This window comes from Homo sapiens, chromosome 2, assembly GCF_000001405.40.
Source record: "Homo sapiens chromosome 2, GRCh38.p14 Primary Assembly".
NCBI classification, from domain to species: Eukaryota; Metazoa; Chordata; class Mammalia; order Primates; family Hominidae; genus Homo; species Homo sapiens.
The window spans coordinates 236107519-236132961 of NC_000002.12; the positions used below are offsets into that span (position 1 = coordinate 236107519).

The window sequence follows — 25443 nt, forward strand, 5'->3', positions numbered from 1 at the left end:
ATATTATCCTACTCAGGCTGGTCAGGTACTCAACAGGCAGGGAGCGCTAGTGGCAGCAAAGCCACGAGTGCCCCAAGTCTCAACCCGAACCTCAGGCGAAGGTTTGGGGACAAGACTAAGCTCAGCTCCCAGTAACTGGCCCTCCCCTTGCCTCAATCCCTTCTGGAACAACACAGGCTGTGCCAGCCTGCACAGGGCAGTGCAGAATCAGGAAAACCTGGCTGGGGCCAGAGTACCCGGGCACATCCTCGCTCTCCTGGGCCGCCTGGGGCCTGCACCTGCCGGGGGATCTGCCAGCCCCCATACCTGCGGCCGGGCACATTTAACTGTGACTTGCAGAAGTAATAAGCCTAATATGGTTGACTTTATTTAATTAATAATGATCCTCTTCTGTTCCTCTGCGCTCATAAAACACCCTGCAGGTTGGCAAAAACACTCATAATATTGATCAGAAGTCAGGCGGGATATTTATTTTGTCTTTGCCCCACTAGCATAAATCCTTGTCCACTGCCTCCTCCTCCCCGCATGCGGGATTTACAGTGGCCAGCTTCTTAAAAGCATTCAGTAATTAAGGAATAAATATCCATTGGCCTTTGTGGGCTGTGCTCCGTCCCTCCGCCTGACCCCCTAGCAACGCAGCTCAGGGAGAAGGCATGCATGCAAGGGGGAGGCAGCTGTCAGCGCCCGCTCGCAGTGGGCCGGGGTCTTCCCCTACCGAGAAAGGAAGCCCCTCTCTCTTCCTCACGTATTGTTCCAGCCCCCTCTTCCATGCCTCCCCTCCCAGTTCCTGTTTTGCTTGAGGCAGGAAGCACTCTGGAAATTCCTTGCTGCTAGCCCTCTTTTCTCTCCTTCCTCTGCCCTTCCTCTCCTCCTTGTCAGTTTCAACACCAGGCGGGCGGGTCCCCTCCAGTGTCTGCTCCTCACCCTGAGGGTGTTCCTCCACGCCAGCCCGCTCTGCTACAGAATCTCCTTGAAAATCACTGCCAAACTCCTCTCCCACCTGTTGGCGGGGGCAGGGCAGCTGTTTCCAAAGGAAAGACTGTGACAAGTGGCGGGCACACAGACGCAAATTCTTCTTTTGGCCTTTTCGCACTGGAAGAGAGAGGGGGTTCCAATAAAAATGAGCACATTAGACTTGACCTGGAGTGCACTTTCGGGAAGGGGTGTTGCTCAGTGTTTTGTAGACGTGCTCAGAAAGCCACATTTGTGAGATTTGAAGGCTGAGGATGAAACCACCAAGAGACTGCTTTACAGCCCCCCAGAGCGCCCCAGCCCTGCCACACACAGCGGCCCCTGTGAGGACTGAGGTGGACGTCTGGCTGCCCGCTCTCTTGTCTGTGTCCCGTTCATCTCCCAGACCCCGCCACAAGACAGTGCTGAAAGGCAGTCAGAAGCTTTGTGGTTATTTGCTTAAAACTTTCTTTTCTGGGAATCCAACCCATTAACCTTATTACCCCTTGACAATGTGCTGACCCTTCCCTGCCAGGACCAAAACACAGCTGATGGTGGCTGTGTGAGACCTCATCTTTGCAGCTCTCAAATGCATGAGGAACAGAGAATGGGGCATTGCAGGAAGACAGCATTTCTCTCTGAAGGTAGTTGTGTGTAGGTGTGACTCTCCCCGCGCTCTCCAGGTGTCCCCAGAGGTCTTGGTCTATGCTTTGCTCATCACTGACAAGGATTTGCCAGTGCATAGATGACAGTGCCACCAGCAGTGACCAAGCTCACCTCTGGGACTCAGCTGCCTGGTCAGCCTGACCCCGCCCTGCCGAGCACCTCATTCCCGGGCAGCACTTCTGTTTTGGGTACTGGTATCTATATGACTTGCCTTTTCCTTTTAGTGATCTCCTTTCTCTTCATTCTAAAATTCCATGAATTATTATTCATCTTTGTAATTATTATAAATATTTATAATAATAAATTATAGATAGTTTTGATAGGGAAGAAGAGGAGGAAGGAAAAACTGAGATGATCTAGATCCGTGCATCCTCTGTAATGGCAGAAGTGTTCTCGATCAGCAGCCTTGGAAATGTCCTAGTCAGCGGCAGCGTCGGTGCTCTGGACCGGCAGCCATGGGAATGTCCTAGTCGGCAGCAGTGTCGGTGTTCTAGACCGGCAGCCGTGGGAACGTCCTAGTCGGCGGCAGCGTCGGTGCTCTGGACCGGCAGCCGTGGAAACGTTCTGGATCCGAGCATCCCAGGGTAGCAGCTGCCAACCACATACTTATGTAAAGCACTGGAAATGTGTCTAAAGGAACTGTGTTTTTAATGTTATTTTGTTTCAATTCACGTCAACACCCACGGGCAGCTTACAGCTGCCCCATTGGGGGGCACACCTCTAGATTCTTCCTCTGAAGCAAACCCTACCTAACCCTTCGTCAGAGACCAGAACCAAGTGTTAAGATGGCCAAAGGGAGAGCATGAGAAAATGATGCTGTGGATCCACCTAGACTCTCAAAGCCCAGAGAGTCTGGTTGTACAGATGGGAAGATGTTTCCTAATTTGGGAGGCATCAGATCCCTGAGCAAGAGGTCAGACAGTGCCAGGGCAGCCAGTCTGTCGGGTGTCCCAGCTGGGGACCCTGGGCAGTGTTCTGTATCACTGACCTTCTCCTCTAAGATGGGGGTAAGAATAGGACCTTCCTCACTAGGTGTTGTTAGAATTAAACCAGGTAATTGTGTAAAAGGTTCAGCCTGGGCTGGGTGCAGTGACTCACACCTGTAATCCCAGCACTTTGGGAGGCCAAGGTGGGAGGATTGCTTGAGGCCAGGAGTTCAAGACCAACCTGGGCAAACTGGTGAACCCACTGCACTCCAACCTGGGCAACAGAGAAAGACCCTGTCTCTAAAAGAAAAGAAAAAGACCCCCTTCTCTACAAAAAAAAAAAAATTGAAAATTAGCTGGGCGTGGTGATGTGCACCTGTAGTTCCACCTACTTGGGAGGCTGAGGCAGGAGGATGACTTGAGCCCGGGAGTTCCAGACTGCAGTGAGCTATGATTGCGCCACTGCACTCTAGTCTGGGTGATAAAGCCAGACCCTGTCTCAAAAAATAAAAAAGCCTCAAGTCAGTGGTTGGCACATTGCAAATACTTGATAAGCATTGGCTGTGAACATTACTGATACTTTTCCTAGTCTGCATAACAGAGTTTGTCTAATAGTGACTCTACATTTATATAAATATATGTCCATGATCAATCACCTAAAACCCACCATTTGGCTCATGTAGCATTGTAAATAAAGATGGAGAAATTATGCAGAAAGGCCTTTGTTTATTATTGTCTTAGTCCTCTGGGGCTGCTATAACAAAATACCTTAAATGGGGTAATTTATAAACAAAAGAAGTGTCTTGCTCACGGTTCTGGAGGCTGGAAAGTCCAAGATAGAGGCACCGGCAGATTCGGTGTCTGGTTAGGGTTCGGTCTCTGCTTCATGGAGAATACCTCATTGCTACGTCCTCACGTGATAGAAGAGGCAAACCAGCCCCCTCGGGCCTCTTTTATAAGAGCACTAAATCCCATTTATGAGGGCAGGGCCATCATCACCTAGTCACCTCCCAAAGGCTCTACCTCTTAATAACATCACCTTGGGGAGTTAGGATTTCAGCAAATGGATTTGGGGTGACACAAACACACAGCAGTGATAAAAGAGCAGACTTTGTTGATAAATCCGTGCAGGGAAGGCACCCTCACTGCAGTGTTTCCAGTCACTGGGATGAGAAAGGGCCGATCCCAGCTGAGCGTGGTAGTGCATGCCTATAGGCCCAGCTACTCAGGAGGCTGAGGTGGGAGGATTGCTTGAATCCCAACCTGGACAATATGGCAAGACCCCTATCTCTACAAAAAAAAAAATTATGCAGGCATGGTGGCACACGCCTGTAGTTGCAACTGCTCAAGGGGCTGAGGTAGGAGGATCACTTGAGCCCAAAGCAATCCAGCCTGCTCAAACCCAGCCTGGGCAGTATAGCAAGACCCTGTCTTAAAAAAAAAAAGAGAGAGAAGAAGACTGGGCACTGTGTCTCAACACTTGTAATCCCAGCACAAAGCAGGTGGATCACTTGAGTCCAGGAGTTTGAGACCAGCCTGGGCAACATGGTGCAACCCCGTCTCTACAAAAAGTACAAAAAATTAGCCAAGCATGGTGGTATACACCTGTATTCCAAGCTACTTGGGAGGCTGAGTTGAGAGGACTGCTTGAGCCCAGGAGTTCGAGGCTGCAGTGAGCCCTGGTCAAGCCACTGCGCTCCAGCCTAGGCAACAGTGCGACTCTATCTCAAAAAAAAAAAAAAAAAAGAAAGGGTCCATCCCGGTATCAGGCAATGTGAAGTGCTGGGAACACACAGACCTGCCCATGGCATCCCCCAGTCACTTGAGGACAGATAAACCATCACAGTTGGTTGTTGCCTTTTGATTGGAGTCATCGGCAGTGTTGTCACGCGACTGGTCTTGCTCAGGTGCATTCTCCAGTGGGCACTGCAGTGACGGCTCCCACGTGGTCTTCCCTCGGGCTTTTACCCCAGGACCTGTAACACCAAGACAGAGCCCGGTGCAGCCTGCATGTGATGATTCGCCCCCACCCTGGGTCCTTGCCACAGAGATTGAAATAAAAGCTCTCTGGAGGCCAGGCGTGGTGGCTCACACCTGTAATCCCAGCACTTTGGGAGGCCGAGGAGGACAGATCACCTGAGGTCCATAGTTTGAGACCAGCCTGGCCAACATGGCAAAAGCCCATCTCTACTAAAAATACAAAAATTAGCCGGACGTGGTGGCACGTGCCTGTAATCCCAGCTATTCAGGAGGCTGAGGCAGGAGAATCGCTTGAACCCAGGAAGTGGAGGTTGCAGTGAGCCAAGATTGTGCCACTGCACTCCACCCTGGGTGGCACAGCGACATTCCATCTCGAAAAAAAAAAAGGAAAACGAAAGAAAAGCTCTCTCTCCCCACAACCCTGACTTGCACATTTTCTTCTGTAAACATAAATGCTTCTCTCCATCCCCCGTTCCCTCCCTCCTGATCTGTTCTTCACTCTGCCTTGGTTCTGTCGTCGCTGGGTTGGCTGTCTTGCTGTCTGTGCAGCACCTGCTTTCTGTTCACAGGTGCTGGGAGTTGTATGACGCTGGGCAAACTGGGAGCAGCGTGGGCATCCCGGCCCAAGCTCAGGGGCTCAGGAGGCAGGAGGCGGCACTCGCATTCACACGCACACGCACAGAACGCTCTCCCGCTCTCTCAGTCTGGTCCCTGGGCAGGTTGAAGGCAGCTCAGCATCCATCTTTTTCCAGAGAAGAGAACTTTGGCCCTGCTAGGTTGCTGGCCGGCCACCTTATGGCCCCAGGCCTGTCCTGAAGGCGGGGGCCAGATTGGGAGCCCCCCTGCTTCCGCTCTGCAGCCCTGTCTGGCTGAATGGTGTAAAATTCCCTAAGTCTTTCCTTCCTTCTTGCTGTGTTTCAAAGAAGGAAAAGCCGGGTCTGTCAGTTCTAGGCTCTCCACTGTTTTTCCCCTTTTGAAACTTGCAATAAAATCTACCTGTCTCTTCTTTCCTGCAGCCTTTCTTTTTTCCCACGATTTCCCAAAATACGGCCACCACTCTGCCGTCACGTGTGCATCTTGTTCCACATTAGATATGGAGTTTGTTTTGTTTGTTTTTGAGACGGAGTCTCGCTCTTTTGCCCAGGCTGGAGTGCAGTGGTGCAATCTCAACTCACTGCAACCTCCGCCTCCCGGGTTCAAGCAATTCTCTGCCTCAGCCCCCCCGAGTAGCTGGGATTACAGGCATCCGCCACCATGCCCGGCTAATTTTTGTATTTTTAGTAGAGATGGGGTTTTACCATGTTGGCCAGGCTGGTGTCGAACTCCTGACCTCGTGATCCACCCACTTCGGCCTCCCAAAGTGCTGGGATTACAGTCATGAGCCACCATGCCCGGCTGGAGTTTGTTTTTTAAAATGTGTACATGCTTGAGGGTGTTACCAGGAATGATCAATAAAGTCAGTTACTGTCATCCTTAAGCCCACACTAAGTGCTCCGGTTACATGGAGATTACACCTTGCCAGCTGAGTCATGCAGTGGATTTGGCATGGCAGGCACTAAGTATGCGGGTAGCAGGTGGGGAGTGTCCAAGAGAATTGTCTTTGGGATGGACACAGGGAAGCCACCTTGGCCAAGTCACCACCCCTCAAGGTCAGGTGCGGCAAAGCCCGTCAGGCAGCAATGCTAGAGTGTCTGTCTCCGAGCTGGCAGACCCCGAAAAATCCAGAGGGTTCACGGCTCCTGCAACCTACCCAGTGATTCCTATGTCCTGTGCTCAGTGCCTGGCTGTCCCTGTGGATGGCTTCCTGTCATGGCCCAGAGAGAGGTAAAGAGCCACCTTTACCTCTTCTTTTAGGCAGGAAGAGAAGCAAATATAAAATACGATGGCGCCTGAAATGTACCTTTTCTTTTTATTTTGGGGATTGGGTCAGTGCCTTTCTTCTGATGAGTCGCCCATTCCCTCATTTTCCCTCACTCTCCTGCGGCTGATTTATTTAAAGGTGTGTCAGCACCACATCAAATGAGGAACTGGGCCCCCTCCTTTCTGCTGACGGCCGGCCGCGCCAATAATTCATTTTTTAGCTCATTAGCTAACGGAGGCTGTGAACGGTGATCCTCCCGGGGATTGGAATGAGGGGAGGTGATCTACTGCCGGCTGCCTGCTCTTGAACTGGCCTTCCTTGGGGAAAATGAAAGGCTCAGCCAAGACAAGCCAGGGATCCCAGAAGTAGAATTGCGGCCTCCGAGTGACCATTTGAGTCTGTGTGCTTTGACATCATGGCTTCTTAGGGCAAATGCCTCTAGACGGAATAGTCTCATCGAGAAGAAGCCATTGTCAGCGTGTCCCTTGGTCATATGTGACTTGCGTATGGAGACGCTAGTGAGAAAGATGAAGGATGCTATCCAGAGTATGTGTCAGCTCAGGCTGCCAAAATAAAGTATTACACTTGGGTGGCTTAAGTGCGGGACATTCACGTCTCACAGTTCTGGAGGCTGGAAGTCTGGAGTCAGGGTGCCCGCAGGGTTGGTTCTGGTGAGACCTCTCTCCCTGGCTGACAGATGGTGCCTTCTCCCTGTGTCCTGCCTTTCCTCCGGGTGTGCTCAGAGGGAGAGAGACATCACCAGTGTCTCGTCCTCTTATACGGGCACCTGGCTTATTGAATTAGGGCTCTATCTTTATAGCATCATTTAACCTTAATTCTCTTCCTGAAGACCCCATCTCCACATACAGCAACATTGAGGGTTAAAGCTTCAGCATGTGAATTTTATGGGATACGACTCAGCCTCTAACATCCAAGAAGCCCTTAAACATCTCAAGGCTATGGGCAGGAGCCAACCAGATGTTGCTCCTGCAACTCTGACAGCTATGAGGTCATTTAAACCAGCCAGACTCCTTCTTACCCCAGAGTCTCAGGATCCTCTGCACCCTCGGGGGAGCTCACAAGATGCCAGCAGGCTTGGCAAGACCTCTGGCCAAGAGCATCCCCCCTACCATGCTGAGCATGAGGAGTTGCGTGAAGCTCGTATGTACACACAGCCGTGATTTAGAAGCCTCCCGTGCCCAGCAGGCCTTCGGTACCCGCGGCCCCGTGCCACCAGCACTTCCCCCACACGTGCCGCTTCCACGGGTGAGCTCCTGTGTGCTCACATAACATTGAATTATCAGAGAGGTTGTTTTCTTCAGTCGTGACAGCCGCTGTTTGCAGGGGAACCACTGTGGCCATGGTGTCATCCAAATGCGTGATCCCAAATCCCAAAACAGCCCTGCCTTGTGTAGATGTCACTGTCCTCATTTGACAGATGAGGAAAAGAGGGTCCAAGAAGTTATTAGAAAGGCGAACGTCTACACCACTAAGTCGAGAAAAGGCACATAAGCCACAGTCTCTCTAATGCTTAAGAGTGCAGCCTGTGAGCTTAGTGTTGGTGGGGAGATTGGCTTTTCCCTGCCTTTGGGCATTGCAGAAAGTACAGGGAGCTAAGCTTTCCCCCTGGTATCTGGATGGGAGCATCCACAGGAGGTGGCCTTCAAGTCACAGCAGGTGGCTGACATGCATTAGTTTGCTGAAGTAGCACCAAAAAACCCAGTGCCCTTGTCTGAGTCCTGTTTTCATACTAGTGAAATTTCAGCTGCTAACAAGAATCACGTCTGATGCAGACACAAAGCCCAGTGGCTGCCCCAACTCCCTGGCCACCTCCTACTGTCCGAGAAAACACTGAAATATAGCAGTCCCAAAGGACTCAGAAGTCAGCATTGAAAGCTTCTGTTTTTGTTTTGTTTTGTTTAGACAGAGTCTCGCTCTGTCACCCAGGCTGGAGTGCAGTGGCGCAATCTTGGCTCACTGCAACCTCTGCCTGCTGGATCCAAGCGATTCTCCTGCCTCAGCCTCCTGAGTAGCTAGGACTACAGGTGTGTGCCACCATGCCAGGCTGATTTTTGTATTTTTAGTAGAGACGGGTTTTCACTATGTTGGCCAGGCTGGTCTCAAACTCCAGACCTCAGGTGGCCCGCCCAGCCTCGGCCTCCCGGAGTGTGAGGATTACAGGCATGAGCCACTGCACCTGGCTGCAAACTTTTGTTTTTTTGTTTGTGAAATGGAGTTTCACTCTTGTTACCCAGGCTGGAGTGCAATGGCGCAATCTTGGCTCACTGCATCCTCCACCCTCCACAAGGTTCAAGCAATTCTCCTATCTCAGCCTCCCTTTTGTGGGTTTCGGGCCCACAAAACCTGGACCTACCTTTTATTACATAGTTTAAACAATGCTGATTTTTTTTCCATAAGTTATTGGGGTACAGGTGGTATTTGGTTAATTAAGTTCTTTTTTTTTTGAGAGAGAGTTTTGCTCTGTCGCCCACGCTGGAGTGCAGTGACGCAGTCTTGGCTCACTGCAACCTCTGCCTCCTGGATTCAAGCAATTCTCCTGCATCAGCCTCCTGAGTAGCTGGGATTACAGGCACCTGCCACCACACCGGCTAATTTTTGTATTTTTAGTAGAGACAGGGTTTCACCATGTTGGCCAGGCTGGTCTCAAACTCCTGACCTCAAGAGAACCACCCACCACGGCCTCCCAAAGTGCTGAGATTACAGGCATAAGCCACCACGGCCAGCCATGAGTAAATTCTTTAGTGGTGATTTGTGAGATCTTGGTGCACCCATCACCCGAGCACTATATACTGCACCCTATTTGTAGTCTTTTATCCCTCGCCCCCCTCCCACTCTTCCCCCCAAGTCCCCAAAGTCCGTTGTATCATTCTTACACCTTTTATGTCCCCATAGCTTAGCTCCCACGTATCAGTGAGAACATGCGATGTTTGGCTTTCCATTCTTGAGTTACTTTCCTTAGAATAATAGTCTCCAGTCTCATTGGAGGTCCCTGCAAATGCTGTTAACCCATTCCTTTTTATGGCTGTGTTGTATTCCGTCGTATATGTATATACACCACAGTTTCTTTATCCACTTGTTGATTGATGGCCATTGGGGTAGGTTCCACAATTTTGCAGTTGTGAATTGTGCTGCTATAAACGTGTGTGTAAGTATCTTTTTCAAATAATGACTTCTTTTCCTCTGAGTGGGTACAGTAGTGTGATTGCTGGATCAAATGGCAGTTCTACTTTCAGTTCTTTAAGGAATCTCCACACTGTTTTCCATAGCGGCTGTACTAGTTTACATTCCCACCAGCAGCGTAGAAGTGTTCCCTGTACACCACATCCACGCCAACATCTACCGTTTTTAGATTTTTTGATTATGGCCATTCTTGAAGGATGAAGGTGGTATCAACAATGCTGATTTTTAAAAGTAAAGAACAGCTCATTCAAATGTGTATCAGCTTGTCAGTTCGGATGAGGTTGCCTATGAGGTGAGATGTGAGGACAGAGAATCACTCCAGCAGTTCCCGGGGAGAACATACTGACACAGCGAAGGGTTCAGGAGCCGCAGGTTCGTACTCATTCTTTGGCTGGGGTGTGGGAATATTAAAAAGAAATTGAATACTTGCAGTTAGCACTGTAGCTACTAGTTCAGTTATGTGGTTTATCCCTGGGTGATTTGGCAATGACTATTAAAGTCAATCGGAGCGGAATCAAATAGTTGTGGGATTTTAATGTCTACCAAAAAATGAGAGTTAGCAAATTGGAACTGGAAAATCTGGACGCATCCTTCACCGTCATCCCTTTTCATTTAATTGACGTTTTGCTCCTTCTCTTTTGTGATTTATGAAATGCATCAACAAACGTTTAATACATTTTAAATAAGGCCTTTAAAATAGTATCAGAACTGCTTCTTTTTGTCTGTCTCCTGAACCCGTATTTCCCAGACATTGTCAGTGCTTTTGTGCTTGTGTTTTTGCCCGAGTGGGGTGCAGGGGCTGCCTCCGCTGCATTTGTGGGGGCCGGTGTCAGTTCTCAGCTGTAGCCAAGTGTTTGTCCTGGAAATCTCCAAATGAAAAGAGTCGGGGGTCACTCTGGGGTCACTCACATGTACCAGGAAGTGAAGCAAAACTAATCCAGATTTACTCCTGGAAGAATTTGTTTGCCTTAGTATTTAAAAACAGATTAGGGCTAACCCGACACTAGATCACTAGGTGCAATGTAAACACGGGTAAAAGGTGTAAACAAGGCCTTTCCTCTGTACTTCGGAAGCAGAAATGTCATGGGTAATGAGTTTTCTTTCTAGACTTTCGCGGAAGCCCTGAGTGATTTCTCCGTGTCATTTGTAACTGTGTACTCTGATTATTCCCCTGGAGAAACCTGAATTTTGGAGAGGGCGATTGTGAATCAGTGCGTTATTAAAGTCTCTATGGGTAACTGCAGTCCCTTCTTACATGTAGGGCTTTTCTTTCTTTTCTTTTTCTTTTTTTTTTTTTTTTTTTCGAGATGGAGTCTCATTCTGTTACCCAGGCTGGAGTGCAGTGGCGCAATCTCAGCTCACTGCAACCTCTGCCTCCCGGGTTCAAGCCATTCTCCTACCTCGGCTTCCCGAGTAGCTGGGATTACAGGCGCCTGCCACCACACCGGCTAATTTTTGTATTTTTAGTAGAGACAGGGTTTCACCATGTTGGCCAAGCTGGTCTCGAACTCCTGACCTCAGGTGATCCACCCACCTCGGCCTCCCAAAGTGCTGGGATTACAGGCATGAGCCACTGCGCCCAGCCTCTTTTCTTTGTCATCCTCATCAAAAAGGCAGGCAGGGAGCACTTCCCTGGCTGGGCTTGGCTCCTGGGATCCTTGTAAAATTTCAAGAGCTACTTGTAAAATCTCACACTGTTCTTTGTAAATTTCTTGTCCCCCACCACCCTACCTTTTTTTTTCCCCTCTAGCGGTGCTGCAGAGTCTTGAGTTTTCAGTATCTGTCACGCTCTTTTTTGAGAAACCAGAAACCATCATCAGTAGCCACAAAGTACAGGAGCTGCTCGCCTGGGGTCCTTCCTTTGGGTCAACATAAACATGCCTTACTGTTGGTTTCCTCTTCTATTTGTTAAGCTTCTCATCTCATCCTGTCCTCTCCTTCTTAGCCCTCCCCACAGATGTGTAGCAGGGTCCCCATCCTCTGTAGACCCCCCAGGAGGAGACCATGTATTACACTGGCCAGGTCGGGCAGCCCCATCTCAGCCAGGTTGTGATGCTGGGGCCGGGGCGGGCAGGCATCAGCATCATCCACTCTCCACACCTCCGACCCCATCCACCCCCTCCCCAGCTTTGTCCTCTCCTCTGCCTCTGGGCTCAGCTCTGGCTTCTGGGAGCTACCTGCCTGTTTCCCAGGCCCTGGAACAGTTTCCCCCAAAAAACTCAGCCATTCCTGACATTCTGTCCTTTCCACTTAAGCCTTCCCCAAGTATCTGGAGATTCCAAAAGCTGCATCTCCCTGCTAAACCTCCTCATTGGAGTCTCCACCCTCTCCTGCGTGAGTCTGTTGCCATGTTTTCCTCAGCTGAAAGGGTTTGGAGACCCTGGGGAGTCCACACACACCCCCTATTTCGGAGTTTGAAGCTAAAAGCACATGGTCACCCCCAGGTGTGGGGAGCGCACCGGCTGTCCCTTCCCCCCACCCCCGGCCCAGCTCCAGCCAAGTGTCCTATAGCCCTCACTTACAGTCCTGCTTACAGTAAAGCAACTCTCGGCCCCAGAGACCATGCTTCCATCGTGCGGTCCGTGCTCTCGGCCCCGGAGACCGTGCTTCCATCGTGCTGGTCCCAGGCAGTAGGGTGGTTTCCCCTGTGCATCGGTGTGTGAGAGCCACTGATCCAAGGCCATGGCCTTGAGCCCTCACTTGGTAGTTTTCTTTCCAAGGACAGCTTCTACACTAAAAGTGACAGAAGCAGCACCAAGGCAGTGTATGAGCCTGAGATCAGCGGCTCTCACACCTTGGGCCTATTGGAATCCCCTGCAGGGCTTCTTAAAACACCCCGAGAGGTTTGGATTCAGGGGGTCTGGGGCGTGACCTGAGAATCTGCATTTCTGGGCTGATGCTGCTGGTGAGGATACTGTTTTGTGAAGGTGGATAAACGTTTCCCCCAGGGGGCTTTGTGCCGAGTGAAGACCTTTGCTTTCTGTTATTTCACTTCCCTCTCGGCTTCTCCCGACCACACTGGGCAGGGGCTGGCAGCCTGTGTTCTCGGGCCTGATCGTGACTGCACCTGTCTGGTGGCTCTTTGCAGGGAAGAGAAGGAACGGTGGATCCGTGCCAAGTACGAGCAGAAGCTCTTCCTGGCCCCGCTGCCCTGCACGGAGCTGTCCCTGGGCCAGCACCTGCTGCGGGCCACCGCCGACGAGGACCTGCGGACGGCCATCCTGCTGCTGGCACACGGCTCCCGGGACGAGGTGAACGAGACCTGCGGGGAGGGAGACGGCCGCACGGCGCTGCATCTGGCCTGCCGCAAGGGGAATGTGGTCCTGGCGCAGCTCCTGATCTGGGTAGGTGGTCGGCACGCCTGGCAGAGGACGGGGCCACAGGAGGCACTCTCTGCTTTGTTCTGCTTCCGTGGGCATCTTTCTGGCAGAAGGCTGTTGTTCTCGATCTGCAAGTGGAAACAGTTCCTAATGGGAAACTCTGATTGAAGAGCAGAGGGCCTTACGGAGAGACAGCCGGTCCTCCTTGTACAGTACTTGCTAGAGTTTCTGAAAATTGCAACTTTGTGATTGCCCCTTATCAAGCAGGGTTGGTGCTATCCCTCTTTTTTCATTTCCATCATCTTCTGGAGAGAAGGCGGTGTATTAACGGGATGGCTTGTAGGGTTTCCCCATTTCCAAACCTTTGGTGTTTTTATTCACTTAACACAGAAATACTGGACCCTAAACTTTGAGGTCTGATGTGGCAGGAGTTTGTCAAAGGACTTCTTTCGAACCATTCTGATTAATTTCTACTGGGGAAAAGTATTATTTACATTCCTATTGAAGCATGTGTCACAATGCTTGAAGGAGTGAAAGAGAAGGATAAAGTGGTTGTGCAGAGAGGCCCTGCCTGTGCCACCCAGGAGCTACGTCTGAGAAGCCACGCCCACTTAGGGGCTGCCTGTGGACCCCTGGGGCTTCTGCTGAGGCAGGTTCCCACCAGAGGCAGGCAGAAAGCTGCCGGCAGGGAGGCTCCCCAGATAGGGAAGGCAAGTGTGTGCCCAGAAGTGGAGACAGCACCCAGAGGTGGGACACCCAGCTGGAGGCTCTTCTGTCTCCACCCGCAAGGCAGGATGGGTCAGTCCAGCACAGCAGCACGTTCTACAGCAGCATGGGTAGAGTGCAGCAGGTTTCTGCATGTTTTTGATCTGACTTTTTTGTTTTTTGTTTTTTTGAGACAGAGTCTCGCTCTGTCACCCAGGCTGGAGTGCAGTGGTGCGATCTCAGCTCACTGCAACCTCCGCCTCCCAGGTTCAAGCAATTCTCCTGCCTCAGCCTCCCAGGAAGCTGGGATTACAGGTGCGCACCACCACGCCCAGCTAATTTTTGTATTTTTAGTAGAGACGGGGCTTCACCATGTTGGTCAGTCTGGTCTCGAGCTCCTGACCTCGTGATCCACCCGCCTCGGCCTCCCAAAGTGCTGGGAGTACAGGCATGACCCACCACGCCCAGCCTTGATCTGACTTTTTTGATGGGTGCAGTTGGTGAATGAGTGAGATATAGACACTACACCAAAATCACACAGATACTCCCTTTTGCTCATGAGTCATACATGTGATGTAATGCACATTAAATAAGAGTTGTGTGTAGTGTGCTAGGGCTGCCATAACAAAATACCACAGACAGGGGTGCTTCAACAACAGACATTTATTTTTTCACAGTTCTGGAGGCTGGAAGTACAAGATCAAAGGGCCAGCAGGAATGGTTCCTGGCGAGGCCTCTCTCACGGCTGGTAGACGGCCGCCCTCTCCCTATGTTCTCACAGGGCCTTTCCTCTGCACTCGCTCCTGGTAGCTCTCTCCTTTCCCCCCACCCCCTTCTTTTTGGGACAAAGTCTTGCTCTGTCGTCCAGGCTGGAGTGCAGTGGCACAATCATAGCCCACTGTAACCTCAAACTCCTGGGCTCAAGCAATCCCCCCACCCTAGCCTCCCAAGTAATTGGGACCACAGGCATGCCACCCCCATGAATGGCAGTTTTTAAAAAATTTTGTAGACTTACGTTCTTACCATATTGCCCATGGGTTTTGAACTCCTGCCTTTAAGCAGTCCTCTCACCTCGGCCTCCCAAGGTGTTGAGATTACAGGTATCAGCCTCCCAGCCCAGCCTTTTCCTCTTCTCATATAGATACTAACCCTATTGTGACCTCATTTAAGCTAATACACCACCATAAAGGCTCTGTCTCCAAATACAGTCACATTCTAAAGTACTGGGTGTCAGGACTTAAACATGTGAATTGTTGGTGGGAGCGGGGGACACAGTTATAAATTACAGGCCATCTTTGCTTCTCCAATTGAGCAAAAATTCCTTTGATGGCGCTGGTTCCATGCTGTTGAGTGGCCTCAGACTCCCACACATTGTGAGTTGGCAGAAGTGGAAGTGAATTCACTCTTTTTCATGAGCAAAAAGCTTAAAAACGTTGTGTACTTTAACCTCATATTTTCCCCCTTCTGATCATCACTCTAATAATCAATCACAGATCCTAAGAAAGATTCTATGTGAGGACATACATCCGGGCACTGTTTCTTCCAGTGACAATTTTTTTTTTTTTTTTTTTTGAGACAGAGTCTCACTCTGTCTCCCGGGCTGGAGTGCAGTGGCACGATCTCGGCTCACTGCAACCTCTGCCTCCCGGGTTCAAGCAATTCTCCTGCCTCAGCCTCCTGACACTAGCTGGGATTACAAGCGTACACCACCATGCCCAGATAATTTCTGTATTTTTAGTAGAGACGAGGTTTCACCATGTTGGTCAGTCTGGTCTCAAACTCCTGACCTTGTGATCCGCCCTCCTCGGCCTCCCAAAGTGCTGGGATTCCAGGCATGAGCCACCGTGTCCGGCTCCAGTGACAATTTTTACAAAGTGTGCACAGTTGAGGGGAGAGTTCTGAATTCTGTTCATGTGGTGGAATACTGTATGACTTGCATATGTCATGCTTTTTGAGGGGTGGGGAGACAGGGTCTCACTCTGTTGCCCAGGCTGGAGTGCAGTGGTGTGATGTCGGCCCACGGCAGCCTCTGCCTCCTAGGCTCAAGCGATCCTCCCACCTCAGCCTCCTGCATAGCTGGGACCACAGGCATATGCCACGTGCCCAGCTAATTTTTTTAAAATGTGTTTTTTTCTAGAGACAGGGTCTCCCAGTATTGCTCAGGCTAGTCTTGAACTCCTGGGCTGAAGTGAACCACCGCACCCAGCTTGTGTTGTGCTTCTGAGTAATTTTTAATGATGTAAGAAAATGATCACAGTATAGTAATCAATAAAAAATGAAAAAAATACAAATTATTTGTACAGTCTTATCTCAATTATGTACATATACATGTAGATTCAAAGAAAACTCATTGAAAGGAAATACACTAATTCACAAAGGTTATCTCTAAGTAGTAAGATTATGGGTGATTTTTTTTCTTCTTGAGCTGTTATGTGTTATTTGTGTATTTCCTATAATGAAAATTCTGAGATCAAAACAATGATTTTCTTTGTGCAATTGGAAAGTCAAAATAGAAACAGCAAAACTAAAGTTATCTTTGATTCCTTAATGTTGCACAAAGGAGGGGCTTTCAGTTGAAAAAAAAAGACATGTTCTTTCCTTAAAAGAATCCGCTGGCCACGGGTGCAGGCTGTGCCACCAGCACTGGATGGTCCTGGCACCCCAGCCAGTTGTGTAGCTGGCCCCGCTGTCCAAGCACAAGCCACATGCAAGGGCTGAGAGAAAGCTTCCCTGCCCCCTCCCTCCATCACATCCCCCATGATACTAATGTGGGCTCCCTTACCTCCGCAGTACGGAGTGGACGTCACGGCCCGAGATGCCCACGGGAACACAGCTCTGGCCTACGCCCGGCAGGCCTCCAGCCAGGAGTGCATCGACGTGCTGCTGCAGTACGGCTGCCCCGACGAGCGCTTCGTGCTCATGGCCACCCCTAACCTGTCCAGGAGAAACAATAACCGGAACAACAGCAGTGGGAGGGTGCCCACCATCATCTGAGGAACAGCCGTGCCCGCCTGCTCGCCGCACCTGGGACGCGGCAGCCTCGCCGCATTCTCGCTCAGAAGTCGCAGCACGTGAGTCCCGTCGCATCCCCTCCCTCTTCCTGGTGGCCACCTCCCTCCCGCCCACCCACTCTCACCCCAAACAAAATCACAAAACCTGGACATCCCTCAAGGGGCGAAGAGGCGGCCGGGAGACTGCAGAAGTGGCTCCTTTTCATAAACTCCCCTAAACCACACACAGGAGAGAGCGACGGGCCTCGGCCCTTTGATGATAGCACATGGCGCAGGACCCTTGTCCTGGTGGCACAAGGGATGGGGACGCGAGGGGGAGGGGAGGCGAGGAACAAGGAGAAGGGGCAACTTTCCTTAACTGGCAGTTGAGCACATAGTACATTTCCCCTCTACCAAACGGAACACTTGGATTCCATCTCTTCTCTGAGGAGCTCGACGGCATAAATCAGAAGCAAGCACAGAGTTTGTCAGGTTTGAAGCCCCTATGATGGTGTGTGTCAAATCAGTTGTAGCTAATCTGTCCAGGGAGAATACTGGCTTCATTACACTTGTACAGCCGAGTTCTTCCCGCATTACTGCTGTTTAATAGAACGTGATTAGTCATCGCCGAGAAGAAAGCATATTAGCCGAGGAGGTAGTCACGCGGCACGCGCCGGTGATTGCCACGATGTGATTGCAATACTCTTAGAAGCACCATATTATCCCAGACATGTTCTTTCAAGCCCTTGGAGCCCTCTCTAAATTCACTGTCATCATTTAGTATCTGTTTAATTTTTCAGTCCAAAGAGAGGAAATCAGTCGCTGAGTATTATTTGACTCCGGTCTCCTTGGTGCAAAAACAAAATGGGAAAAATAAATAAGAATAACTCAGAAACTCAAAAGGAAACCACAAATTCAGCTAATAATAGCATTTCGAGTATATTTCGTAAACTAAGGAAATACACAAAAGGCTGTTTTTTCCGACTGTAAGAGATATTTGATGTCCTTTTGCCGAGGTGGATGTGTTAGTCTCAGGCCCTCCTGGACCACGTTGCCCAAGTCACACAGGCTTCTGTGTTATGTATTTAGATAAGATGTGTGAAAATATATTTGAATAAAAGAAGTTCATAAATATGCATTGATTTTTGTACAGACAAATGGCACCTCTCTTAATTTATAAATTGAACTGGATGTGAACTAATAATGTGCAACTAGTTGAGATAAGAGGGTTACAGATCATTGTACATGGAAAATATTCCCAGCAGTAAACACTTCCATTAATGTGATCTACGGCTTTTGAAAAGGAGCATCTCAGAATAAGATGGTGGTACAATTTGCTTATTAAAATTGAGAAAGAAAAAAAAAGACACACTGGAGTATATTAGAAAGGAAAAAGAAGGAATGTGGTCTCTCATGATTGAAAGCATGATTTAGATCGGATACGGCTTTTGCTAACCAAGGACCAAGGGACTCTGGCAAGATGGGGTGGTTTTCCGAATGCCAGACCGAGGTGCCTTACGAAGGCAGCTGCCAATGGTTCTGTGGCACAGACTGGCTCCTGAGAACCCAGACGACCTTGACCTGGCAGCCCGGCCCTCCACGCTAGTACCTCGCCTGATTTTCCATCGTTGCGGTATCCAGCCGCTTCAGACGTCCGCCGCCTTCAGTGGTGGTAGTCAAATGTAGTCAACCAAACCACAGCATCCCTTAGGTTAAAAGCAAACGGGGCAGCTTTGCCTAGAGCTCATTGACAGTGTGATGGGGGGAGAAGGGTTGTCACAATGGAAGATGAGGACACTAGACTCATGTAGCACAGAAACATGAAGCCACACGCACCGGCAGCCTCCGGGGTGTTCCTCGCTCTCTCGTATGTTAAACCTTATATTTTATAAGAGTTTTTCCTCTTATTTCACTTTTTAAAAAAAATTAAAGTAGGTGGGGAAAAAAATAAAGCTTTACACAGAATTTATATGTGGGTAAGTGTTTCATGGAAATTTCTAATCTTAACGAAGCTAAGTGGAGCTCACTCGTATCCAAAAGTATAACAGGTGCAGAAGCCACAAGTCTGAGAACCTTGACGACAGTTCCATCGTCCTGCCATTTGATTTTTCAGTCTGCGTTTCATCACTGTGTAGCTATTGTAAATGTGAATAGAAAAAAACAGGTCATTGCCTATTTTTGAAGAACGCGTTGGTGTTCGAGTCCACTAGACACACTCGCTCCACACAGCCTTCACCGTAGACTCTGTAGTGGACACAGATATAGCATAAATGAAATTGTTAAATTATTTCATTGTAGTTAATTCCCACTATAGGAATGCTTTATCATAGTGAAGTTTCTTTTGAGAAGAAACGGAACTCCTTGAGGCTTCTCTTTGGGATGTATATGAGCGTGTACATATTATTCTATGTGTTTATAATATAATATTTTCCCAAATGACTTCTTGTTTCACTTTGCCTTCCACAACCTGAATGCCAGATTGGTTTTTTCCCTTCCTGGCCCCCAGCACAAGCTGCCATGACTCCCCCTCAGAAAACACAGCCCCTCCTCTACCATTCTCAGTGATGTCCATCTGCTCCACTCCGCAGCCACTTTCTAGGGCCCAAGTTTTGGTAGCAGAAGGAAAGGCAGTTTTTGAGGGTCTTTCGAAAAAAAGAAGACGGGGCAGCTTTGCCCAGAGCTCGTTGGCAGTCTGTTTGTATTTCAGTGTCTAACCAGAAGTCCTTTCTTTGCGGACCGCACTCTCGTTCCCACTTTCAAGCTAATTACCACCAAGGCTGGGAGAGGCAAGGACTGGGGGCGGAGCTAGGAATAACTCGTTTGAGAAGGGGGTGGAGTTTTCGTTGTTCATTTCCATGTTCAGTTCTGTGACGTGACGATGACAGATCACCACTGCAGGATCCCCCTCACCTTTCCTGTTCAGAATTAAAACTCTCCCTTGATGAGAAACAGCCAGCTGAGGGAGGCCCACGAGCGGCCTGTGTAACCCCATGGGTGATCTGGACACATCTGCACCCCCGCGTTCAGCTTCGCGGAGACTGAACTTGGCGGGGAGTGGAGGGGTGTGGTGCAGACCTGGCTGCAGCAGAAACACCCCGCAGGGACAGTACTCTGTGATTCTGACCTCAGGTGCTGGGACGGGCAGATGGTTTCCCCCGCCCAGCACCCCAGTCCTGGTCCCTGGTCCCTCTCTCTGTTTCATCCCAGGAAATGAGCAGCTCGAGGGTGAGCAAGTGACAAGTTCCTGAGTCACTGGCCCCAAAACCAGGTGCAGTGTCCTGTCTCCCAAGTGTGTGCACAATGTATATATGCACTGGAAAGGAGGGAGAAGGCAGCGGGTCACTCGCCAATCGCAGGGTTCTCAGACACAGGAGAGAGCGGGATCTTAATGAATTGCATTTCCTGCAGAGCCTCTAGTGCACAGGCCAGTTCTCGGCAGTGGCTTTTCAGCACAAGGGCCTTGCATTGAAGCTCCCTCTTCTGAGATTTCACCCAGCCTGATGAGGCCTGCATGGTTCCGGCCTCGTCATCCAGTGTAGATACCAGTCTTCCTATTTTTGTGACATCTGCACATTTGGGGTCATTCCCTATATCTGCATAGGAGCTATTGCTAACCTTGTTAGGGAGAAACATGGTCTAATGAGAAAGACAGACCCCTAGGCTCAGCTGGCCCTGCCATCCTTCCAGAGGATTCCTCTGCAACTCTAGGCAAGCACCCAGCTTCCTGGGCTCTTTTTCCTCATCTGTGAAACTTGCAGGGTGCAGTGAGGTTTCAAACCAGTGTGATAAGTGTTGGCCTCACACCTGGCCCAGGGGATGCTGGGAGAACAGGAGCACTTGTTAATAACAGAAACACTGATGGGACCGAAGCCAGTGCACACACCAGGAAACCTGCCCGTGGCTGACACTGTCCTCCAGCCTGCATTCTGGGGAGGCTGTGATGGGCACGTTTGCCAACCCCCCCCCCCCAGTAGAGCCCAGGACCCTCCTCTCTCAGCTTGCCAGTGCCCTGCCCTCCACATGGCGGGGAACAGCATCAATGAGGTCCTTGCTCCCTGAGAGCCTCTCTGGAACCTGCCCACTTTTCTCAACATGTATATTCTGCTTTGTAGTCTGAGGTTGATTTTCTAGAGGCGAGGAAGGGGCTGAGTTCTGCCCTCGTGCTGTTCGCTGGTGCTGATCAGGGCCAAGACGACCCTTCCCTCTCCCCCACAGCCTGTTGAGGTGCCGTTGACGTGGACAGCGCCCCTCCCTTAAGATGCCCCCTTGCCGTTGCCATGAGCCGCTGTGACTCACGCGTGCACTGGGCCTTGCTTGGTGCTCCCCTCCTCCTCCTGTCTGAGATCGGAGCTTGCTGGAGAGCACCCCAGGTCGCCGTGCTTGGCTGCAGGCCCGTCCCTCTCTCCCCATCCTCGGGTTCCCAGCGTGTTTTGTGCTTGAACTTGGTGGACTCATCTTACCCCACAAGAGTGGCCTGCTCAACCTGCAGCCTCCAATGTGCCGTAGGCGCTCTAGGTCCCCGTGGCGCCCAGGACACCAACTCTCCCTCCCTGCACTTAGGATGTTCTGGAAATGAGAGGAAATCCACATTCCTGCCCCAGGAGGTGGGAAGCCTGGCAACGATGTAGCTTCCCCTGAGATGCGGTATGATCAGGCCTCAGCAACTACTCAGGAGGCAAAGGTGTTTGGAAAGCAAACCCCAAACCTCCCGGCACGGCATGTGCTCTGCTTCCGTCCCTCACCGCCTGCACAAGGTCGTTGAGACTTTTCTAGAACTCCCCGGGGTTGTATTTATGGCCTTCAAGCAAACAAATTGAAAAGCAGTCAAGGAGGAGTTCAGATAGAAAAGTGCTGGAGATACACATCTTTCCTTCAAAGGAAATGTAATTTATTTCCAACCGCTGCCTCAGACGGGGGTTTCACATGTTGTGAAGTCACATCTTGAATGACTGTCACCCTCATCCTTCCCCAAAAAGCTAAATAAGGGCCTTTGGCATCAATGCGTGCATTCTCCACCTTTCCGCGGCTTGCGCTTGGATTTCTGAGTGGCTTTCTTCAGGGAGCCCTTGTGGTCATGTGTCTTTAATGCTGCTCCCCATGCCCCCAGGCCAGGCCAGCACGCTCAGGTGATAGCGAGTGGGGCCAGGAGACCCCCCTGCCCTGCCCAGTGGACAGATCTGCCCCAGCCCTGCTGTGGGGACGGGCCCTCTATCATTTAACCACATACATTAGGTTGCTTTTCAGCAAAATGTCAGCTTTCCTCCCATTATGCAGGAGAGAGAAGGGGCGCAGGTGTATCTCCTTAGAGTACACCTTGGAGCTGGATCACTAAGAAACAGTCCTCAGACTGGTCCTTCCGACACAGGCAGAGAGTGAACTGGATCGCTGGCCCCTGGGATGCTGCGCTGTCTGTGATTAGAGAGAAGTGGCCAGTGTCCCGTCTGTGATTAGACAGAAACCCCTGTGGCAGACTCCTCCCCTCTCCATGAAGAAAGAAATATTTACTTAGATATTACTGTTTCAAAACACAAACTTTATTCCCCTTAGAGAAGAAATACTGCCCTTAAATAGACTGTTGAAATATTAATGGCCCCCCCATTTAATCAGTGTGTCTGCGGCTTTCTTCGCGTCACATGTCCGCATTGGCAGGTGATTCTGGAAAGGGATTCTGGGAAACCAACAAGTCTTTTTTAAATCTTTGAGTTGTATGAGAAAGTATTTAAGTTCACCAGTGTAGTAAACACCCACCCCAGAGCAGCGGTAAGCAAACCTAAATCTGAAAACCCATTCTTACTGTCTTTCACCATGAGATGCTGGTTTTGGTGTAAAATGACAGCACTTGGTTTGGGGTTTTGCACCTGTTGGGTAGAACTGTTCTTGTCTGAGGTCCTCACCCTCTACAGATGGGCCTCAGGGCCTGGAGGTGGGCAGATGGGGCCAGAGTGGCCAGCAGAGACTTGCATGGGCTCTGAAAGCCCCAGAGCTCAGGCCTAAGGCTGCTAGGTGAGACCAGCAGGCAGCTGTGGCATCCGACCTTGGGACGCCCAAGCTGGGCAGCCGCTCCATGTGCCCCAAACAGGATATCCTCATGAATGTGAGGAGAGGCTGGCTCAGGGCTTGGTTTTCATTTTGGCCTGGCACAGGGTACCTGTAGGGAGCACTCCCCCAACCTGAGGATGGTGAAACCATATGATAGAGACTCCTTGTCGAAGTCCACATCGGACTGATCTAGAATGCCCCGTGGGGGGATTGCATGGCCTTTGCCTTGAGATGCAGGTGAAAGAAAGGAACCAAACAAGGCATGAGTGTGTTGGGGAATCTTCCCAGTGGAGCAAACCCCCTTAACACACCAGCTGTTGGGAACAGCTGCCCCTAAATCCAATTAAACCCTCATCTCCCTGGTGCTGAACAGTCTACACTGGCCCAGGAAGCTAACGTCTGAGCCGCTTGGAGAGCTTTGGTAAACAGAAGACACTGGAAGCCCACTCGGTCAGCAGCTGGGCATGAGGATGTCAGGGGCCTTTGGACTTGAGGAAGGACAGTCCAGGTGCATGGAATCCTAATGGGCCTCATGCAGACACTGGAAGCAGCCCAGCCCCCTGCCCAATACCACAGCCCTGGGGTGTCCCCTGACATTCCTGGAGGTCCCTGGGCAAATGCATTTCCTGCCTGGGTTCTCAGGGTAGGAGAACAGAGAAGGCTCCAAGGGTGTTGGGAGTGAGCCAGGGGCTGGTCTGGGGAGTGGGTCTCACGCACTGCTCAGGTTGGCACGAGGGACCTCCCCCATCCCAACCCAGCCCCAAGGGTCCCAGCAGGGCTCTCAGCATGGCTGTTTTGAGGGTACACAGGTGGCTGGAGAGGGGTGGGGCAGTTGCATGGTGGGTGGCAAAGTGTGCATTTAGAAGCTGCTTCGTGGCGTTAAGAACGGGGGGAGAGGGACCAGCACTGTAACGTTAGAAATAATTCCTTCTTGCAGACTTGAAAAGCATCAGTTTCCCTCCCACGGCTGGGTTTTTGTGTCTGAAATACATCTAATTCTCCAGACTGCAGCCCCTCTCAGCCCCGAGCACCTGAGCGCTGGGGAGGCCCTTATTGAGCTCAGCCTGGAGAGGGGAGGGTCGCACGGGTCCCGGGGGCAGGTCTCCTGCACTGGCTCTTCCCTTCTGCCAGCTTGGAATTTGGTTCTCATCTTGCCACAGGGGTGCGTTTCCTAAAGGGCAGCCGGAGCAGCTCAAAGGTGACAACTGAGATGCATTTCTAGGCAGGGGCAGGGAAGGCCAACCCACCTTGCAGCCAGTTTTCTGTTTCTGTAAATAGCAGTGTATAGAGATGGAAGGGCAGCGTGGGTGTATCCACAGATGGGTTTAGGTTTTTTTTTTGGATGTTTTCTATTACCTCATTCAGCAACTTTATGTTTCACAATGACTCAATGATGCTTTATTTATATTGTTTGTACTGTAATTAAAACCATTGACAGACATTTCACTTTGCTTGTTATTTCATATGATCTTGTTTTGATTAAATATGCCAGTTTGTATTTTCCTGCCTTGGGATTTTTTTGTGTCCGCTGTACAGTATTCTAAGGGAAAAAGAAAAAGAAAGATGTGTAAAGTAACAGAGAGAGGTGGCTATGGTGTAGAGACCTCTTTCTAATAAAGAAATGAAAATATGTCTACACCGCTTCCGTGGAGTTGTTGTTTTTTGTTTTTTGTTTTTTTTTTTTTTGGTGGCGTTGGTCATTTGTCACAACTAATTGTGTTTCTAAGCCCAGGAAAGGTAAATCAGAGAGAAAAGGGGCTCTGTCTGCTGCGGGCAGGGATTGCCCCAGGCCCAGGCTGCCCCAGGCCCGAGGGACTCAGCACACGAGTTCACAGACGGAATGAAGAAAGAGACCAGGAGTGTCTCTTCTGACTTCTTCCTTTACAAGGACAGAAACTCCAAGAGAATGTTCTTTGCCCAGCCAGGGTTGACTGGGCCCAGAACTTCCAGATGCTTCTGTATCTTTGCACTGTGCCACACTGCCCCAGGTGTGTCGTAAGAACTATTCCCAGCAGGTGGCTAGCAGTAGAACCATCCCAGGACTCTATTATTAAGACCGTTATTATCATTAATATTACTGTAATTTTTGCCTACAAACTACATTATATCTTCCCCTCCAAAAAAAAAAAATGAGAAAACTGACCAGGCCTGGTGGTTCACACCTGTAATTCCAGCACTTTGGGAGGCCAAGGCGGTTGGATCACTTGAGGTCAGGAGTTCAAGACCAGCCTGGCCAACATGGCGAAACTCCGTCTCTACTTAAAATATAAAAATCAGCTGGGCATGGTGGGACATGCCTGTAATCCCAGCTACTCCGGAGGCCGAGGCAGGAGAATCACTTGAACCCAGGAGGCGGAGGTTGCAGCAAGTCAAGACCATGCCACTGCACTCCAGTCTGGGCGACAGACCAAGACTCCATCTCAAAAAAAAAAATGCCACCACTAATTTTGGGAATGCCTTCCAGACAGTCTTCTCTGCAAATACAGGGGTGTCCTCTTCCCCCTACTCTTCCATTCAAGAAATAGAGAACCTCGTGATCTCATGACACATTAGTGACATTTTTTGTTGAAGTTTTCCCATGGTGTGGGAGCCCATAGTGCCACAAAATGCCTCGTGGACGGCCACAACATGGAATGTGAGGCCACAGCGAGGGCAGCCCCTCACCCAGCACAGAGACCTGGTCACCTGCCGTCACAGGACACCCACAGGCCTCATGCACAAGGGTACTGGGCTGACTTGTCTTCTAAGAAATGCGGAAGAAGAAAAAGCACAAGGAAAGGTGCTTTTAGGAGGAATCAATGCCA

At 50.3% G+C, this 25443-nt stretch overlaps 1 protein-coding gene across 4 annotated transcripts in view, besides 6 other annotated features; it reads left to right on the forward strand.

The window, feature by feature from the left end:
• Positions 1-24275, forward strand: part of AGAP1 (ArfGAP with GTPase domain, ankyrin repeat and PH domain 1) — a 637751-nt gene extending 613476 nt beyond the window's left edge. For all 4 annotated transcript variants that reach the window (NM_001037131.3, NM_014914.5, NM_001436125.1 and 1 more), the window contains 2 exons: positions 12674-12929; positions 16401-24275. In NM_001037131.3, the coding sequence (NP_001032208.1) occupies positions 12674-12929; positions 16401-16604 (460 nt within the window). In that variant the 3' untranslated portion in view covers positions 16605-24275. The remainder of the gene's footprint in view (positions 1-12673; positions 12930-16400) is intronic.
• Positions 1055-1578: an enhancer, noted in NCBI's record as "H3K27ac-H3K4me1 hESC enhancer chr2:237017217-237017740 (GRCh37/hg19 assembly coordinates)". NCBI's record gives its function as "activates a minimal SCP1, AML or CMV promoter by ChIP-STARR-seq in primed H9 embryonic stem cells {active_cell/tissue: H9 hESC(primed)}" and the evidence as "EXISTENCE:reporter gene assay evidence [ECO:0000049][PMID:30033119]".
• Positions 1579-2102: an enhancer, noted in NCBI's record as "H3K4me1 hESC enhancer chr2:237017741-237018264 (GRCh37/hg19 assembly coordinates)". NCBI's record gives its function as "activates a minimal SCP1, AML or CMV promoter by ChIP-STARR-seq in primed H9 embryonic stem cells {active_cell/tissue: H9 hESC(primed)}" and the evidence as "EXISTENCE:reporter gene assay evidence [ECO:0000049][PMID:30033119]".
• Positions 11865-12607: an enhancer, noted in NCBI's record as "H3K4me1 hESC enhancer chr2:237028027-237028769 (GRCh37/hg19 assembly coordinates)". NCBI's record gives its function as "activates a minimal SCP1, AML or CMV promoter by ChIP-STARR-seq in naive H9 embryonic stem cells {active_cell/tissue: H9 hESC(naive)}" and the evidence as "EXISTENCE:reporter gene assay evidence [ECO:0000049][PMID:30033119]".
• Positions 12608-13350: an enhancer, noted in NCBI's record as "H3K4me1 hESC enhancer chr2:237028770-237029512 (GRCh37/hg19 assembly coordinates)". NCBI's record gives its function as "activates a minimal SCP1, AML or CMV promoter by ChIP-STARR-seq in primed H9 embryonic stem cells {active_cell/tissue: H9 hESC(primed)}" and the evidence as "EXISTENCE:reporter gene assay evidence [ECO:0000049][PMID:30033119]".
• Positions 19200-19710: an enhancer, noted in NCBI's record as "H3K4me1 hESC enhancer chr2:237035362-237035872 (GRCh37/hg19 assembly coordinates)". NCBI's record gives its function as "activates a minimal SCP1, AML or CMV promoter by ChIP-STARR-seq in naive H9 embryonic stem cells {active_cell/tissue: H9 hESC(naive)}" and the evidence as "EXISTENCE:reporter gene assay evidence [ECO:0000049][PMID:30033119]".
• Positions 21294-22231: an enhancer, noted in NCBI's record as "H3K4me1 hESC enhancer chr2:237037456-237038393 (GRCh37/hg19 assembly coordinates)". NCBI's record gives its function as "activates a minimal SCP1, AML or CMV promoter by ChIP-STARR-seq in primed H9 embryonic stem cells {active_cell/tissue: H9 hESC(primed)}" and the evidence as "EXISTENCE:reporter gene assay evidence [ECO:0000049][PMID:30033119]".